This window comes from Homo sapiens, chromosome 4, assembly GCF_000001405.40.
Source record: "Homo sapiens chromosome 4, GRCh38.p14 Primary Assembly".
Taxonomy (NCBI): Eukaryota; Metazoa; Chordata; class Mammalia; order Primates; family Hominidae; genus Homo; species Homo sapiens.
In genome coordinates, this window is record NC_000004.12 from 143019324 (window position 1) to 143038974 (window position 19651).

Below are 19651 nucleotides of genomic sequence, written 5' to 3' on the forward strand. Positions count from 1 at the left end.
GGGAGTAAACAACCCTTGTCTGACTCCAGAGAAAAAGGAGTGCTCTGAAGTTTTGAGTCCAGGGAGTTATGGTTGTAATTTGAGAATCTGAGCCAATAGGGCTCAGTAGCAACTCAGGTCCCAGAGGACAAGGCACTGTAGAGTGGTGACACTAGACTCTGGGATGGTGAGGTGTGGCTATATCATAAACTCACTGAGACCAGGTGCAGTGGCGGCATGGTGGAGCACAGCTGTCATTTGGGCTCTGGTGGGCAGGGAGCAGCACACTAATGACTCCACTCCCCAGGGAGAGGAGCATGTCAGAAGTTCAGGCTTTAGAGAGCTAGTTCAGCTTCAAGTAAGCGGGATACTAGAGTTGTTTTGCCTGTAGAGCAAGGCGTCTCAGCTCAGTCACTGCTCTATTTCCCTAGGATGCGGGAATTATGTCAACTTAACCCTGGGATGTGTAGCTACTCAGCGTGGCCAAGGCACCACTTCCCTGGGAGGCAATATGCTTCTTCAACTCAGGCGCAGGGTGTGTGACTATTCTGGCCCAGGCACCATTTCCCTAAGATCCAGTGTCTTGCTTCAGCTTAGTTATTGTGATGTGTGACTGCTCTAGGAAGCCAAGGCACCATCTTCTGGAAGGGCAGCATAGCTGCTCTGGTAGGTCAAGGTACTGTTTTCCCAGAGGACAGGGTACTACTTCAGCTCAGGCACAGAGGGGTGTGACTGCTCTGGGTGGCTAAGGCACCATTTCCTTGGGATGCCTGGCATTGCTTCAACTTTGACACAGGGTTCAGGGTGCTTTAGCAACCTGGAGAGATATGTTGAGGAGCTCTGCTGAGGTACCATTTCCTTTGGAGGCAGTGTGCAGCTTTAGCATAGGGTTCTAGGGGTGGGGTACAACAGTGACTCAGAAGGGCATATGGAACCATTCCACCAAGCCACTGTTTCTCTGAGGAGGTAGTGTACTGGTTCAGCGCCATTCCCCCAATACAGGGCACAGCAACAGTGACTGCGAGGAGTAGCTGGAGCAGCTCTGCCAAGACACCATTTCCTTCAGTGGTAGTATACAGCTTCAACTCTCTCAAGGGGGTAAGGCACAGCAGTGATGGGAGAAGTCTATGGAATGGCTTTGCCAAGGCACTGTTTTCTCAGGAGGAAGTCCATAGCTTCAGCTCAGAGCCCTTAGGAGCACAGTGCACCAGTGACTGGGAGGAGCAGATGGAGTTCTACCAATTCACCATTTTTCTAGGGGGTGGTGCACAGCTTCAGCTCAGGCCCCTAGGGGTGAGGTGCAGCCATGACTAAGAGAGGTAGATGGAGAGGTTCTGCCAAAGTACTATTTCCCTAGGAGGGGTGTGCAGCTTCAGCTCTGGCCTGAGGGGGCAGGGAGTTATGCACAGGACAATACTAGTTATATATCTGGCAGTAGCATCTGTTGGTAGCTCAGCTGGATCTTCTGGGCTAAGATTATTAGGGACAATTGGAAATTAAGAGACTCTGAGGCTAATTTAAATAAAACAAACAGAGTGCTGTGCTGAGAGTCTCAGAAAGAAACTAAATAATGCATCATGTCCAAGATCAAGCACAAGAAAAGAAACAGGATGTGAAGCCAAGAGTTCAGGGGTCAGGTAAGCACAGAACATAGCAGGATGCAGTAAAGAAGCAAAGTTCCAGGACAATTATTGTGCATTGGACACATGATGTGTGGATGGATCAGCTCGATCTAAAGGCACAGTATTGGAACGGGTTTAGTTCTCCAGACGCTGGCTGTAGAAGCTTTCTATGAACACTAAACAAACAATACTCTGAGTCTCAGAGAACCAAGCTACAGGAAAAAGGAATCAAGAACATACATACCAGGCCAGACATGGTGGTTCACTCCTTAATCCCAGTGTTTTGGGAGGTTGACGTGGGAGGATCATTTGAGGCCAAGCTAGGCAAAATAGTGAAACTTCCGTCTCCACAAAAATATTAAAAAATTAGCTGGGTGTCATCAGCTTGTTGTCCTAGCTACTGGGGAGGCTGCGGCAAGAGAACTGCTTGAGCTAAGGAGTTCAAGTTTACAGTGAGCTATAATCATGCCATGGCACTCCAGCCTGGGAGACAGAGCAAGATCATGTCTCTAAAATTTAAAAGAAAATATATGAAAAATATAAGGTCTAATTTTCTATTATTATAAGCCATCTTTAATTTCTAAGTTACACACATACACTTCAGTCAAACACATGCTTTCATAAAAAGGAAGCTGCAAAAAAATGATCACTCCTTCCAGTTTCATTATTAGTGTAAGCCTCTTCTTTGACCACTGGTATAAACATTTAGCTTATTTTGTGTTAGTTCATATTTTTGGTATTTCCACCACTGAACATGACAGAGGCTATACTCCTGAAAGCTACTGGATAATTGTAATTGACAATTTCCAAATTAAACTGATAAAGAAACAGTGAGCATTTGTTTTAATTTTTTACATATTTTTGTAGATATCCAGGAAAACTTGTCTGAAGTTTTTAACACCATCTGTTGCTTATCATATACTTTTAATGGAATACTGGAATGCTCTATCTTTTATATTAATTTTCCTAAAGTAAATGAACTTTTTATGTAATAGAATAAAATTAATACCTTTGATACATCATCTAATAAGTATAATTTGGAGGAAATGGAGTATTAATGACTCAAGGTGCAAATTACCATTTAAGTAAGGGTAGAAAGATGATAAAACGCAGACTCATTATGTACCTCTAGCAATTTTTCAAGTTTTATTCTTTTTACCATTTAAGTAATTATGTCCTCCCTTTGGACATCACTTTTTTCTGTTCTCCAACTAAATAATTTTTAACTTACAAACATTCAGCCCCCTACTTTTGTGGCTGCTTTTGCAATTCCAAATGAAAACGTCTTCTACAAATTTAATCAATATATTTACAAAAATAACACAAAATTTCGCTAACATCCTCTTTCTACTGATTTCAAATTAATCCAAATTTAGTGTTCATTTAGTTCAGAATCAGGAGATTCCAGTAACCACTGTGCAGTTCCCAGAATTAAACAGTTGAATTCTATTCAGTTGACCGGGTAAATGTAAGACATGCTGGCTGTCCCATTAACTTCCTAACATAATTAGGAATGAAATAATCTAACTGCTCCAAGTCAGCTCAGGATATGTTTTACAGTCTTATATCTCATAAGAGGAATCCCCAGTGTATGGGCTGGACCAAATCTAAATCCACTTTATTCAGTCCTCAAGGTCATAATACTGCACTAGGTGCTGCCAATATATTCCAAGACATGATCCTATATGTCTGTCAGAATGTACATCTAATATCAGGGTAACAAATAGGTTTAATTTTGCATGTCAACTCGATTAACTGGTGGAGTCTGCCTTGAGCAGCCTGTTAAGGACATTTTAAGGCTACGTACAGACTTGGAAGAATAGATGTATTAGCAATGTCGGCCATGTGTTCAGAAAGGGGGAAATTGCAACTTAAATGTCTCATATTTACTGATCCTAATCAAAGAATTTCAAGAGAAAAAATGGAAATGCCTAACCCAGAAGTTCAAGTAAAATCTGAAGTGTAATAAAAATAGTTTATACCTACTAATCTGCATTCCCTTTCTTCTTAACGGAAGAATTTCCATCTCTGCCAGTTTTCCTTTTACATGTTTCTCTCTCTTCTGCTGTATGTCCTAATTCCTCCCTTTCTCTACCACAAAATAGAAGTCAGAATTCATTTAATAAAGTATTTTTTCATTTCCTCTAATATTTTTATACAGTGAACTTTTAAATAGCACCCTCTCCCTACCACAATGAAAGTTTTGAATCAAAACAAAAGTTGTTCTTTGACTTGTATGTGGAAAACATTATTACTTTTAGTAGATCAATTTCCTCTTAGCGAAATAAAAGTCATCCTATTTCCTTTCAGAAGGTCATTAGTGAAGGCTGCTTGATTCATGTAGACATGTGTGTTCAGGCCAGACCTTGCCTTGGAATCTGTCTGCCCAGCAACCACTGCTCTGCATCCTGTACTCCAGCTCACCTCCAATCTTGCTAATTGCTTCTTGACTCTACTCTGTGCACCACAGTCCACAATCTTCAGTCCCTATGGTTTGGGTGGAAAAGCAGGAATGGCTCCACCCTTCCAATATCCAGGAATGTGCATGTCACAGATCTGGCCAATCCACACAGTCATGATTGGTTCAAGGATGGACATATGACTCAACTTTGTCCAGTTGAGAATTGAATCTGAGACTTTTGTGAATATTATTGAATATTCACAGAGAAAAAACTTTCTGAAGTCACTGAACTTAAAGGATGTCAGCCTGGCACTGTAGGAGATGCACTACAAAAACAGAGCCTGCACACAGAAAGGAAGTAAAATAGAGGCTACCAAGGGCTGGGGGGATGAAGGGAAGGTTATTGTTTAATGAGTATAGAGTTTCTGTTTGGGATGATGAAACATTCTGGAAATGAATAATGGTGATGGTTACACAACATGGTGAATATACTTACTGCCACAGAATTGTACAATTAAAAATAGTTAATATGGTAAATTTTGTGTTATATATTTTAACACAAATAAATAATAAAATAGCAGTTAAAAACATCTGAGGAGGAGGTGGAGCAAGATTGCCAAATAGAACCCTCCACTGATCTCCCCCACAGGAATACCAAATTGAGCAGCTTACTGGAAGGCACCTTACTGAGGACTAAAAATCAGGTAAATGATCACAGTACCTAGTTTTAACATCATATTAAAGAAGGAGGCACTGAAAAGGATAGAAAACCCAGTCTCGAATTGACAACACCACCCTGCTCCTATCTCCCAGCAGTGCTGCATGGCACGAAGAGAGAGAGTCTGTGCAATTGGAAAAGGAAGAGTGTAGTGATTGTGGGACTTTGCATTGGAACTCAGTGCTGCCCTGTCACTGTGGAAAGCAACACAGTGTCCATGAAGACAGCATTTATACCAGCCCTACTCAGAGAGGAATCATCCATCCCAGCAGTTGGAACCTGAGCTCTGGCTAGCCCCATGACTACCACTGCTCTGAGGTCCTAAATAAAACTGAAAGGCAGTCTAGGCCACAAGGACTGCAATTTCTGGGCAAGTCCTGGTGCTGTGTGGGCTCAGAACCAGTGGACTCAGGGTGCAATGACTTGTGAGACACCTGCTGGGATGGCCAAAGGAGTGCTTGTGTCACCTCCACCCCAATCCCAGGCAGCATTGCTCATAGCTCCAGGAGAGACTCTTTCCACTTGAGGAAAGGAGAGGGAAGAGTAAAGAGGACCTTGTCTTGCAATTTGAATATCATTTCAGCCACAGTAAAATAAAGCACCAAGCAGAGTCCTGAAGACCCCATTTCAGACCCTAGCTCTCAGATGACAATTCTAGACATACCCCAGGAAAGAAGATAATCCAATACCTTGAAGGGAGGGACCCATACTTGGCAAGATTCATCACCTGCTAACTAAAGAGCCCGTGGGCCTTGAATAAACATCAGCAGTACATACCCAGGCAGTACTCACCAGGGGCCTTGGGTAAGACCCAGTGCAGTACTCACTTCAGGTGTGACCCAGCACTTTGCCAGCTGTGGTGGCCACAGGGAGAGACTCCCGCTTAAGGAAAGGAGAAGGAAGAGTAAAAAGAACTTAGTCTTGCAACTTGGGTATCATCTTAGTCACAGTAACACCAAGTAGAGTCCTAATGTTCACAACTTCAGGCCCTAGCTCCTGGACAGCACTTCTAGACCCACCCTGGGCCAGAAGGAAACTTATTACTCTAAAGCGAAGGAGACAAGCCTGGCTTGATTCACCACTTTCTAACTAAAGAACTCTTGGGCCTTGAATAAATATCAGCAGTAGCCAGGCAATAGTCACGATAAGCCTTCAGCAAGGCCCAGTACTGTGCTGGCTTCAGGTCTGACTTAGCAGAGACCCAGTGGTGGTGGCCACAGGGGTGCTGAGTCATCCCTCCCCCAGCTGCAGGCAGCAGGGCACGAAGAGAGAGAGAGACTCTGTTTGTTTGGAGAAAGGTAAGATTGGTACAAAAGTAATAATTGTGCCATTGAAAGTAATGGCAAAATCTGCAATTATTTTTGCACCAGCCTAATAATTCAAAGAATTCTTTGAGATCTTACCCAAAACCTCAAGGCAGTACCTCTACTAGTCTGCAAGAGTCACAGCATTACTGGGCTTGGAGTGCCCCCTAATGTAGATATGGCTGCAGTGATCAAAGACATAGATCACAGCACAATTCCTTTTGAATACTTGGAAAATCTCCCCAAGAAGGATGGGTACAAACAAGCCAAGACTGCAAAGACTACAATAAATACTTAACTATCCAATGCCCAGAAATCAACAAATATTCACAAGCATCAAGTCCATTCCACAAGGGAGATGGGTCAACATGGCTGACTAGAAACAGCTCATGTGTGCCTGTCTCATAGGGAGTGGACAGAGTGGCTAGTGAACATTGACCTTGCAAATCGGTTGTCTAAGAAACCACATTAGGATCCAGCAACACAGTGAGGGGACAGACAGAGCAGAGAGGAGCAAAGCTGGCCAGCAGCCCATCTGGGATCAGCACAGAACCAAGAGAAGCTTCTTAACATGGGGAAGAGCGTCTGGAAAATTCACACTTCCCACAGGAACCTGTGCAAGTCTGGGAACAGGAGAATCCCTCCAACCCCCGACCCTGGTCCTCTAAACTGAAGCAAAGAGCCACCCGGAATTTTTGCAAAGGCAACACTCAAGCCCACAGGGACCTCTACAAGCCCTGGACCCTGGAACAAACCAGCACCAATGAGATAGCTCCAACAGAGGCTGCAATCATTGTGCCCAGGTGCAGTAAGATTGCTTCACATCCCTCACCAGGCAAGGCTCAAAGCCAGTTTCCACACAGAAGCCCTGCTTCTTCCTGAATTCTGTAAGAAGGTTCAGCCTTCTGTTCCCCTGGGAAATATCTGGATGCCAGATCAGGCAACTCCACCCACCCTGGATGCTCAAAACCAGGTAAGCCATGCCTGCTAGAGCTTCCAGAAAGCAATCCTGCTTCTGCCTGAACTTTGTGGCCAGGCACAGCCCTATGTTCCCTCAGTAAACATCCAGACTGCAAGGCAGGCAACTCAACCCACCTCTACCATGTGTAGCCAGGCAAGTTACCTGCTAGAGCTTCCAGCCCAGTAGTCCCACTTCTGCCTGAACCCTGCCAGTAGGCTTAGTCCCCTATTCCCCCAGCAAACATCCAGATGGCAAGGTGGGTGACTTCACCCACACCCACCACTTATAGCCAAGCAGGCCATGCATGCTAGAGCCCACAAGTGGTAGGTCAGGTGACTTCACACATTAACACTGCTCCTAGGTGAGACTTGCTAGCTTGGGCAGTGTCCAAGCAGTGCTGAGCTCTCACTCTTAGACCACAAAGAGGGGGGAGATTCCTAGGTTTGCAGGCCAGCAGAAAAGCAGGGTGTGTCTCCCTCCACATGGCTGGCCCAGGAAGGGTACAGTCTGTCTGCCAACTGCAGGCCCTGCCTAAGGGAGCCCCGGCTTCCAGAACACCTAACAAAAGAAATGTGGGGATGGAGTCAGTGATTGGAAAGGGCTCCTCCAAGGCCCAAGAGTGGATCAGCTGAAGGTGTCATCTTGCTCCTCCCACACCACAGAGCATTGCTGCCAACTGAGCCAAAACAAAACAGCCATGCAGCTGAGTAAGAGCCTATCTGTCAGCCAACACTCTTAAGCACCAAAGCAAAGATCCAGCCACAAATAAAGAGTCTATACAAAGTTCTAGCACTCTGGAAACACCCAGAAATTAAGCCTACTGACTATACTCAATTTACTTCACAGTTAAAGGAAGACCAGCCCTCACACATGAGAAAGTATCAACACAAGAACTCCAGCAACTCAAAAAGCTGGTGTGCCCCTTTACCATCAAACAAACACACTAGTCCCCCAGAAATGATTCTTGGCAAGATTGAGATGACTGAAATGACAGACATAGATTTCAAAACGGAATGGCATAGAAGCTCACTGGGATAAAGAAGAAAGTTGAAACCCAATCCAAGGAGCTTAGTAAAACAACCTAGAAGCTGGACGATGAAATAGTCATTTTAACAAAGAATCAAACTATGAACTTCTGGAACTGAAAAGAAAATCACTTCAAGAATTTCACAGTACAATCAGAAGTGTCAACAGCAGAATAGTTCAAGCTGAAAAAAGAATCTCAGAGCTTGAAGACCAGTTCTTCAAATTCAAATTAACTCAGACAAAAGTAATGAAAAAAAGAATTTTAAAAATAAACAAAATGTCCAAGAAATGAGATTATGTAAAGAGACCAAATCTATGACTCATTGGCATTCTTTTCTTTTTTTTTTTTTTTTTTTAGATGGTGTCTCGCTCTGTCACCCGACTGGAGTGCCGTGGTGCGATCTCGGCTCACTGCAACTTCCGACTTCTTGGTTCAAGCGATTCTCCTGCCTCAGCCTCCCAAGTAGCTGGAGTTACAGGCACATGCCACCATGACCAGCTAAATTTTTTTTTATTTTTAGTAGAGATGGGGTTTTACCATGTTGGCCAGGATGGTCTCAATCTCCTGACCTCGTGATTATATACACAATGGAATATTACTCAGCCATAAAAAGGAAAAAATTAATGGCATTCACAGCAACCTGGATGGGATTGGAGACTATTATTCTAAGTGAAGTAACTCATGAAGAGAAAACCAAACATCGTATGTTCTCACTCATAAGTGGGAGCTAGGCTATGAGGATGTAAAGGCCTAAGAATGACACAATGGACTTTGGGGACTGATATGGTTTGGCTCTGTGTCCCCACCCAAATCTCATCTTGTAGCTCCTATAATTCCCACATGTTGTGGGAGGGACCAGTGGGAGATGATTGAATCATGGCAGCAGGTCTTTTCCATGATGTTCTCATGATAGTGAATGGGTCTCATGAGATCTAATGGTTTTAAAAATGGGAGTTTCTCTGCACAAGCTCTCTTTTTGCCTGCTGCCATACCCATAAGATGTGACTTGTTCCTCCTTGCCTTCCACCATGATTGTGAGGTCTCCTGAGCCATGTGGAACTGTAAGTCCAATAAACTTCTTTCTTTTGTAAATTGCCCAGTCTTGGGTATGTCTTTATCAGCAGCATGAAAATGGACAAATACAAGGATTCAGGGGAAAAGGGTGGGAAAGTGGGGAGGAATACAAGACCACAAATTAGGTTCAGTATATACTGCTCAGGGGATGAGTGCACCAAAATCTCATAAATCACCACTAAAGAACTTATTCATGTAACCGAATACCACCTGTTCCCCAAAAACCTATGGAAATAAAAAAAAATTTAATAAAATAAATAAAAATTAAAAAGAAGACATAGAAACAAAGAACTGACACCTGCTACCTCAAAAATACACTCAAGCACATAGCCCATGAAATATACAAAGCAATTATACAATCAAGTCTACAAAACAAACAGCAACAACACAATGACAGGATAGAGATCTCCTATATCAATACTAACCCTGAGTGTAAATGGTCTAAATACCCCCACTTAAAAGGCACAGAGTGGCAGGCTGGATAAAAAGACAAGACTCAATTGTCTTCTGTCTTCAAGAGATGGATGTCACATGTAATGATACTCACAGGATCAAAGTAAAGGAATGGAGAAAGATCTACCAAGCAAACACAAAACAACAAAGAGCAAGAGGTGCTATTCCTATATCAGATAAAACAAATTTTAAGCCAACAACAATTGCAAAGGACAAAGAATGGCATTACATATTGATAAAGGGTTTAATTTTTTTAAAGACTTAACTATCCTAAATATATACGCACCCAACATAAGACAAGAAGTTTTTCTCAACCTATGAAAACACTTAAACAGCCACACAATAATTGTGGGAGACTTTAACATTCCATTGACACCATTAGACAGATTATTGGGGCAGAAAGCTAATGAAGAAATTCTGGACTTAAACTCAACAACTGACCAGTTGGGCATAATAGACATCTGCAGATCCAGAAATCACAGAATATATATTCCACTCCATCCAAAAACCACAGAACATATACTCTTCTCATCTGCAAATAGAATATATTGTAAAATCAGTCACCTGCTCGGCCATAAAGCAAGTCTCAAAAAATTCAAAAAATGCAAAATCATAACAAGGATATACTCAGATCATAGTGCAGTAAAAATGGAAATCAATACCAAGAAGATCTCTCAAAACTACACAAAAACATGGAACTTAAACAACTTGCTCCTGAATAACTCTTGCATGAACAACAAAATTAAGGTAGAATAAAAATATATATATACATAATTAATGAAAATAGAGATACAACTTGCCAAAACCTTTGGGAGGCAGCTAAAGCAGTGCTAAGAGGAAAATTTATAGTACTAAACTGCCTTCACATCAAGATATGATGATGACCTAACATCACAAGTAGGGGAACTAGAAAAAAATGAACAATTCAACCCCAAAGCTAGTAGAGGAAAAGAAATAGCTGAAATCAGAGATGAACTGAATGAAATTGAGACCCAAAAATCCATACAAAAGATTGATGAAACTAAGAGTTGGTTTTTCAAAAGAATAAGCAACATTGATAGCTGATTAGCTAGATTAACAAACAAAAAGAAGATCCAAATAAGCACAATCAGAAACAACTAAGATTATATTACAACTGATCTCACAGAAATTAAAAGATCCCCCAGAGACTATTATGACCTCCTCTATACAAACATTTTAGAAAATCTAGAGGAAACGGCTAAATTCCTCAACATGAACAGAAAAATCCTCAACAAAGTGCTAAGGAACTGAATCCAGCAAAACATCAAAAAGTCAATCCACCACAATCAAGTAGGCTTTAATTCTGGGAGGCAAAGTTGGTTCCACATAAACCAATATGACTCACCACATTAAAATAATTAAAAACAAAAACCCTATGATCATCTCAATAGATACATAAAAAGCCTTTGATAAAAATCCAACTTCTCATTCATGTTTGAAGAATAATTTTACTGGATATATTGTTCTAGGATAAAACTTCTTTTTTTATTCAGCACTTTAAATATGTCATGTCACTCTGTCTTGGCTTGTAAGATTTCCACTGAGAAGTCTGCTGCCAGATATATTAGAGCTCCTTTATATGTTATTTGTTTCTTTTCTCCTATTGCTCTTAGTATCCTTTCTTTATCCTTGATCTTTGGGAGTTTGCTTATTAAATGTCTTGAGGTAGTCTTACTTGGGATGATTCTGCTTAGTGATATATAACCTTCTTATACTTGAATATTGAGCCAGCTATAACAAACCCACAGCCAACGTCATACTGAATGAACAAAAGCTGGAATCATTCCCCTTGAGAACTGGAAAACCTAGAAGAAATAGATAAATCCCTAGACGCATACCACCTACAAAGATTGAATCATGAGGAAGTTTAAAACCTGAATAGACCAATAACAAGTAATGAAATCAAAGTCATAATGAAAAGTCTGCCAACAAAGAAAAGCCCAGAACCCAATAGCTTCACTGCTGAATTTTAATAAACATTTAAATAAGAACTAATACCACTCCTACTCAAATTATTTCAAAAAATAGAGGAAAAGGGAATACTTCAAAACTCATTCTATGAGGCCAGTATTACCCTGACACCAAAACATGATACTGACACATCAGAAAAAGAAACTACAGGCCAATGTCCCTGATGAGCATTTATGTAAAAATCCTCAACAAAATTCTAGCAAACTGAATTCAAGAACTCATTAAAAAGATCATCCATCATGGCCAAGTGGGATTTATCCCAGGGATGCAAGGATGGTTCAACATACACAAATCAATTAGTGTGATATGTCATATCAACAGAATGAAGAACAAAAACCACATGATCATTTCGATTAACGTTGAAAGGGCATTTGATAAAATTTAACATTCCTTCATAATAAAAATCCCTCAAAAAGTGGGTACAGAAGGAACATACCTCAACATAATAAAAGCCATATACAATATGCCTACAGCTAGTATCATACTGAATGAAGAAAAACTGAAAGCCTATCCTCTAACATTTGGAACAAGAGAAGGATGCCCACTTTCACCACTAACATTGAACATAGTACTGGAAGTCCTGGCTAGGGCAATCAGACAAGAGAAAGAAATAAAGAGCACCCAGATTGGAAAGGAAGACATCAAATTATCTTTGTTTGCAGATGAGATGATCTCAGATTTGGAAAATCCTAAAGACTCCACCAAAAAAAAAAGAAAAACTGTTAGAACTGTTAAACAAATTCAGTAAAGTTGAAGGATACAAAATCAACACACAAAAATCAGAAGCATTTTTATGTGCCAACAGTGAATCATCTGAATATGAAATGAAGAAAGTAATTTAATTCACAATAGCTAAAAATAAGATAAAATACCTAGGAATAAACTTAATCAAAGAAGTGAAAAATTTGTATAATGAAAACTATAAAACACTGATGAAAGAAATTGAAGAGGACACAAAAAATGGAAACATATCCCATATTTATCAGTTGGAAAATATTGTTCAAATGTCCATACTACCCAAAACAATAAACATATTTGATGCAATTCCTATCAAAATACTAACGGCATTCTTCACAGACATAGAAAAAATAATCTTAAAATTTGTATGGAACCACGAAAGACCCAGTATAGCCAAAGCCATTCTCACCAAAAAGAACAAAATTGGAGGAATCACATTCCCTGACTTCAAATTATGCTACAGAACATAATCAAAACCACATGATACTTGCATAAAAACAGGCACACAGACCAATGGAACAGAATAGAGAAACCAGAAATAAATCCATATGGCTACAGTGAACTTATTTTTAACAAAGATGCCAAGAACCTTAGGGAAATGATGGTCTCTTCAATAAATGCTGCTGGGAAAACTGGATAGCCATACACAGAAGAATGAAACTAGACCCTTATTTCTCACCATACACAAAAATAAAATCAAAATACATTAAAGACTTAAATCTAAGACTTTAAACTATGAAACTACTAAAAGAAATATTAGGGAAACTCTCCAGGACATTGGTCAAGGCAAAGATTTCTTGAGTTATACCCCATAAGCACAGGCAATCAAAGCAAAAATGGACAAATGGGATCACATCAAGTTAAAAAGCTTCTGTAAAGCAAAGGAAGCAATCAACAGCAACCCACAGAATGGAAAAAAGTATTTGCAAATTGTTCATCTGACAAGGGATTAATTACCAGAATATATAAGGAGCTCAAAAAACTCCATAGGAAAAAATATCTAATAGTCTGATTTTAAAATTTGATTTCTCAAAAGAAGGCATACAAATGGCAACACATATTTTGAAAAAGTGCTCAACATCATTGAGCATCTGAGAAATGCAAATCAAAATTACAATGAGATATCAGCTCCCTCTGGTTAAAATGGCTTTGATCCAAAAGACAGGCAATAACAAATATTAGTGAGGATATGGAGAAAAGGAAACCCTCACACACTGTTGGTGGGAATGTAAACTAGTAGTACGGTCACTGGAGAACAGTATAGAGGTTCCTCAAAAATCTAAAATAAGAACTACCATATGATCTAGCAATCCTGCTGCTAGGTATATACCCAAAAGAAAGGAAATAAATATAACAAAGACATCTGCATCCCCAAGCAACCTAAGTATCCATCAACAAACAAATGGATAAAGAAATGTGGTACATATACATAATAGAGTACTATTCAGTCATTAAAAAGAATGAGATCTTGTTATTTGCAACAACAGGGATGGAACTGAAAGTCTTCATGTTAAGTGAAATAAGCCAGGCACAGAACGACAAACTTTGCGTGTTCTCATTTATACATGAGAGCTAAAAATTAAAACAATTGAACTCATGGAGATAGACAGTAGAATGGTAGCTACCAGAGATTGGGAAGGATAGTGGATGGGGAGGGAAGTGGGGATGGTTAATGGGTACAAACAATATAGTTAGATAGAATGAACAAGGTCTAATATTTAATAGCACAACAGGGTGACCACAGTCAACAGTAATATATTCTACATTTTAAAATAACTAATAGAGTATAATTGGGATGTTTATAACATGAAGAAATGATAAATGCTTGAGGTGATGTGATTTACCTTGATGTGATTATTACACATTGTATGCCTATATCAAAATATCTCATGTACCCCATAAATATATATATATATATATATATACCTACTGTGTACCAATAAAAAAATTAAAATTAAAATCTTTAAAAAAACTAAGACATAAATCAATTCATTTAATCTTCTAAAAATCCTCTGAGACCAGTAATACTATTCCCATTTAACAGATATGGTTAAGTGACTTGATCCAGACCACACAGTTGGTCAACAGCAGATCCTGGGGCTAAATGATCTGTGATAGAAAACTTGTAAGATTCCCAACTATCATATATTGATGCTTTCAAAGATCCAATAAATATAAACAATTTCAAGAAATATAATTTTAAAATAAAACCATATGAAACAAACAAAAATATAGCCTGTCTGTGAGTGAAGCAATACTAGGAAAAGGAACTCTCATGGCTGTATCAAGAATATATTTTTTTCTGATTTGTCTCCACAAATATATTCCTGATACAGCCATGAGAGTTCCTGGCTCAAACTCTGACTAAGGCAATGTTATATCTAGATATTTCAGTGTTATGAGTTAATAAATTCCCAATTTTCCCTAATTACTTTGAGTTTCGCTTCTGTCAAAATCAACAAAAATATCTCTGGCTAATAGATTTATCAATTTACAGAATGATTTATTTTCAAAAATGTGTGGAAATCTGGGGAAAGGGCTTGCCTGGTGAGACTGTTCCCCCACAAGAGCAGCTGAGGTAGGAGCCTGAATTAATTTCCCAGTTTGATTGAGGACCTGTAGAGGACCATGCAGTATCAAGCATGAGGCCAGATGACATAAGGCTAAATCATAGATATTAAAGTCCCTAAGACCTATAGTGAAGATAATAGTCTTAGTCTGTTTTTGTGTTGCTCTAAAGAAATATCTGAGGCTGATATTTCGTAATTTATAAGGAAAAGAAATTTATTTGGCTCATAGTTCTGCAGGGCTGTACAAGAAGCATGACACCAGCATTTGCTTCTTATGAGGACCTCAGGAAGCTTCAAATTATGATGGAAGGGGTGTAGGAGCCAGTATGTCACATGACGATAGCAGGAGCAAGAAGGAGGGGAGGGGTGTCATGCTCTTTTAAAGAATCAGCTCTTGAGTCAGCTAATAGAGCAAGAACTCACTTATTGCCACTGGGATGGCACCAACCCATTCATGAGGGATCCACCCCCATGACCCAAACACATCCCACCAGACCCCACCTCCAACACCGAGGATCAATTTCAGCATAAGATTTGGAGGGGACAAATATCCAAACTATATCAACATTGAGCTCATGAAACATTGAATTGGAATTTTCTGAAAAACTGTGGAGAATTTGGCTTCATCTTTAAATTTGAGGTTTAAAAGAAAAAGTGCAGAAGTATAAACTCAAGTGCAAAAAAGCAAAGAGAGGAAACAAGAAGTAAGATTAAGAATTCACAGGAATTCACAGAAATTAGGAGAAGATTCTCACAAGTTGTAAACTGGTGGTTCCAGACATGTTGAACCAGATCTTTAAATGGTAGAGGGCTCTAGATAACATCAATATTACAGGATTTTGTGAGACACATTTATTATTCATTATTACCTAGTCTGGACCGAAAAGGTCCCCATTTAATGATTGATTAAGATCCAACCTTGCTGTTTCCAACTTTTCAGTAGACATCAATATTCCAGAGATTGGCTTCCTGTTTCTGATAGGGAGCTGGGTACTAAAGGTCAGGCTTGGATTGAAACAAAAAGTTGAAAGATGGATGGAGAAAAGAAGAAAGTTCTCACCAATCTCTACACCCTCTCAAACACCTTTTCAAAACACCCCCTCTGAAATCTATCCCCCACTTTACTGAATGTTCATTGCTTCCTTAAAGGAGAAACAAACCCCAAGTCGAAAAACTTCACTCAGTTTTAGATAGAATTTATTCAGAAATTATTCTGTAACCATGAGGAAAAAGCAACCAATAAATGCTGGTCAAGTGAAAATATAGGAAAAGCCATAGCATTTGATGACATGCTTGAGTAACTTAACTTATACACATTGGATTTCTTGTATGTAACAACAACAACAACAACAAAACATATTTTAAGCAACTCTTGACAGGATTTTTGTCTCTTCCAATCAAACAAAATCCTGAATAGTACATATATAAAAGATGTAAAAATGGATAGTGAAACAAACTTTTTAAATTTAGAAAATCTTCGTGAAGGAAAAAAAACTGCATGTGAATGCTGTGATTTAGGTCCCTCTAAGAAAATAACTATGTCATATATCATAATAAAGCTGTCAAGAGAAATTAAAGTTGAAACAAATACTAAATAAAGTTAACAAAGATCTCATTCAGTGAAATGCTATTTGTACAAAGAATACTTGACCTTCAAAAGCCAGAATCTGCAAAGTTTTTAAGAGTTTGTAAACCACTGAGATAAATCCCCATTCAAAAGAAACAGTCCTTATATTGGAAGATCTCATTCACAAAAGAAAACAGAAATAGCACTTCAGTGCAACCTCTAAGAATGAAAAAGACACAAAACATGTCTTTGCATGGGCTAGAGATTAGAGCAGAAATGTTTTTAAATGGCAAGAAGAAAATGATACAAAATATTCATCGTAAATCTCTGACAGTCAAATCCCCATACAATTAGAAAAAAAAAAGAAAATGCTTTAAATGGCCTACAGATTTCAAACTCATATAAGAATTGTTCAGATTTCTCCTTTATTTAAAAAAAAATCTGAAGAAGCTCTCAGATAAGGGTGCAAAAAATGTATTATGTAATAAATAAATTTGTAGAGAGTGTGTCAGCCAAAACCTTTAGCAAAGCACTACTAAGCAGTAGCACTACTAATTCCATGTGAGACAGATACTTGCTCTCAATAGACCTCAGGCTACTCTACTGTAAAGGAGGAAAAGGAGTTTGAACTAGATAATAGCTAAGACTCACTACAATCCTAAAATTCTTAAATAATACATTTCCTTATTACATAAATGATATGTATTCATTAGAGAAAAAAAAGAATAAACACAGATTAGCAGAAACAACATGTGATTCTTGCCAAAACCAAGGTTATCTTCTTTGACAATTTCTTTTCAAAACAATGAAACAGAGGTTTCAGAATACTGAGAGAGCTCAGTCAGATTTGTTTGTCTATTTTGTACCCATGGTCATGACTTGGGTCATGACCTAAGGACGGGTCAGATGTTTGGGTCAGATATTACCTAAACTGCTTCTCAATCATCTGCTAGTGAGACTTTCTCTTTCAAATATGCAAGTCGTCTGGACCTTTTCCAGGATAAATATTTGGACAAAAAGGGGGGTTTTATACTCAAACTTTGTGAGTACAATCTGGAAATTTCTTCAATGCAGAATAATATTCCCATCTAAATGTACCTTCTTGGCTTCATTGAAGCACTGAAGCGCAATTTTTTTGTTCCCTAATAAAATCATTAAAAGAACTATAAACCAAAACTCTAGAAGACAGGGCTGTAATACAGATCTTTTAAACCCTCTATGTTCTCTTAAACTGTTGTGGTACTGAGCTTAGGAAAGCTAATGTTAATTCATTGGTCCATTTTTTTTCCCAGGAGAAGAAAGATTGCCATACGTTCAATGTTAAAAACCTCCCCAGTCTATAACCAGGATGGTATGAGGGTCTTCTGAGATAGTGAGATAGTTGTATTTCAACTGGCTTTTTGTCACGTAACATATCAGAAGCATCTTTCCATTCATTAAATGTATCCCTGTATCGTTATTATTATTATTTTTATTTTATTTTAATTTTTTTTTTTGAGACAGAGTCTCACTCTGTCGCCCAAGCTGGAGTGCAGTGGCACAATCTCGGCTGACTGCAAGCTCCGCCTCTCAGGTTCATGCCATTCTCCTGCCCCAGCCTCCTGAGTAGCTGGGGCTACAGGGGCACGCCGCCAAGCCAGACCAATTTTTTGTATTTTTTAGTAGAGACGGGGTTTCACCGTGTTAGCCACGATGGTCTTGATCTCCTGACATTGTGATCCACCCGCCTCAGCCTCCCAAAGTGCTGGGATTACAGGTGTAAGCCACTGTGCTCCGCCTCATTATTTTTTTTAAGAATTAACTTTCTTGCTATTTTTAATTACAAATGTAATACCTCCTCCATTGTTTCATCTTGAACACTTTACTTAAAATAAAAGCTTCAATTTCCTCATCAGTAAATTGAGAAGAATATAATCCTATCTTTTGTCATGAAAATTAAAGAGAAAATTAGTATGTGTCATTTATCACAGTGCTGGAAATATAGCATCATATTATAAGTATAAGGTTTTTAAAAAAATTCAAACAGTATAGTAAATTATTAGTAAATTTTACTTTTACTAATTAATTTTAAAAGTAAATTTTACTTTTACTAATTAATTTTAAAAGTAAATTTTACTTTTACTAATTAATTTTAAAAGTAAATTTTACTTTTACTAATTAATTTTAAAAGTAAATTTTACTTTTACTTTTAAAAAAGTAAAAATAACCAGCAATCCTATCACCCGTAGTAACTTCTTTTGGCATTTCCTTTCAATCTTTATAGAACTTTCTCTAGACATATATATATATATGTAAGTGCTCACAGACAAAAACTCATGCTTTATATTTTTATTTTTTGCCATTGTTTAGCAGAGTGTTACATAAATATTTGTGTAATGTTGAGCATTGAGGATTTAATTAGCGTAAATGTTACTTTATGAAAAATTTCTATTGTATTCAGCCCCAACCAATGGAGCATTTATTTCATATAATGTTTGAAACATTAAAAACTCAGTATAAAAAAGAATCTGAATATTTTTTCACAGTTCATTAGAATATGATTTAACTTATAATTTGAAAAATGTATGTGCGGGCTTATATCAATTAAAATGATTTGCCTACAAGTAACAGAAAATGTAATTCAAATTGAATTTAACAATGGAAACATTTATATTTCCCTATAACTAGAAATTCAGAAATAGGGTGTTCAGTTCAGAAATAGGGTGGCTTGATCTAGTATTTTGGGCTCAATTTCTTTTGGTCTTGATCTCTTTCAGATTTTAGATTCATCTCCATGCTATTAACATCATACAGAACTTCCTTGTATCACATTTACACATGAGAATGGCACAAGGTAAATATGATTTACTTCTAGAAGTTATCTGGAAATTCAGCCATAATAGGTTAATAGGTATCAGGTTTGCCCTCCTGCAGTAAATAGCAACAAAGCAGAGCAAATATATGAGGCAGATGTTTTCAAGCATTAGACAAAAGAAAGCATGAGACAGTGATCTTTGGGAGAAGAAAAACACATAACACAAGTTCTACTGCTCCTGTTTTGGTTCTATGCATACTTTCAAACTGCCTTAGATAGAGGTATAACCTGAATCAGTCTTGCTGAATGTATAATATTAATATTAGAGTTAAGGATTGCTGAAACAGTAAGAATTGGCTAAACAGGGTGCCAGAGAGGAAGAGGTTATGCAGAGCAGGAAACACATAAATATACTAAAAGTTATCTTGAGTCTTGGCCAGAGCCTTAGTTG

At 38.5% G+C, this 19651-nt stretch overlaps 1 long non-coding RNA gene across 1 annotated transcript in view, besides 1 other annotated feature; it reads right to left on the bottom strand.

Annotated features, from left to right (window-relative positions):
- The window catches only part of USP38-DT (USP38 divergent transcript), a 396420-nt gene that overhangs the window by 230882 nt on the left and 145887 nt on the right, over positions 1-19651 (bottom strand). The gene's annotated exons all lie outside the window — the stretch shown is intronic.
- Positions 6091-6200: an enhancer, noted in NCBI's record as "active region_21940". NCBI's record gives its function as "activates an Ori minimal core promoter by ATAC-STARR-seq in GM12878 lymphoblastoid cells {active_cell/tissue: GM12878}" and the evidence as "EXISTENCE:reporter gene assay evidence [ECO:0000049][PMID:35858748]".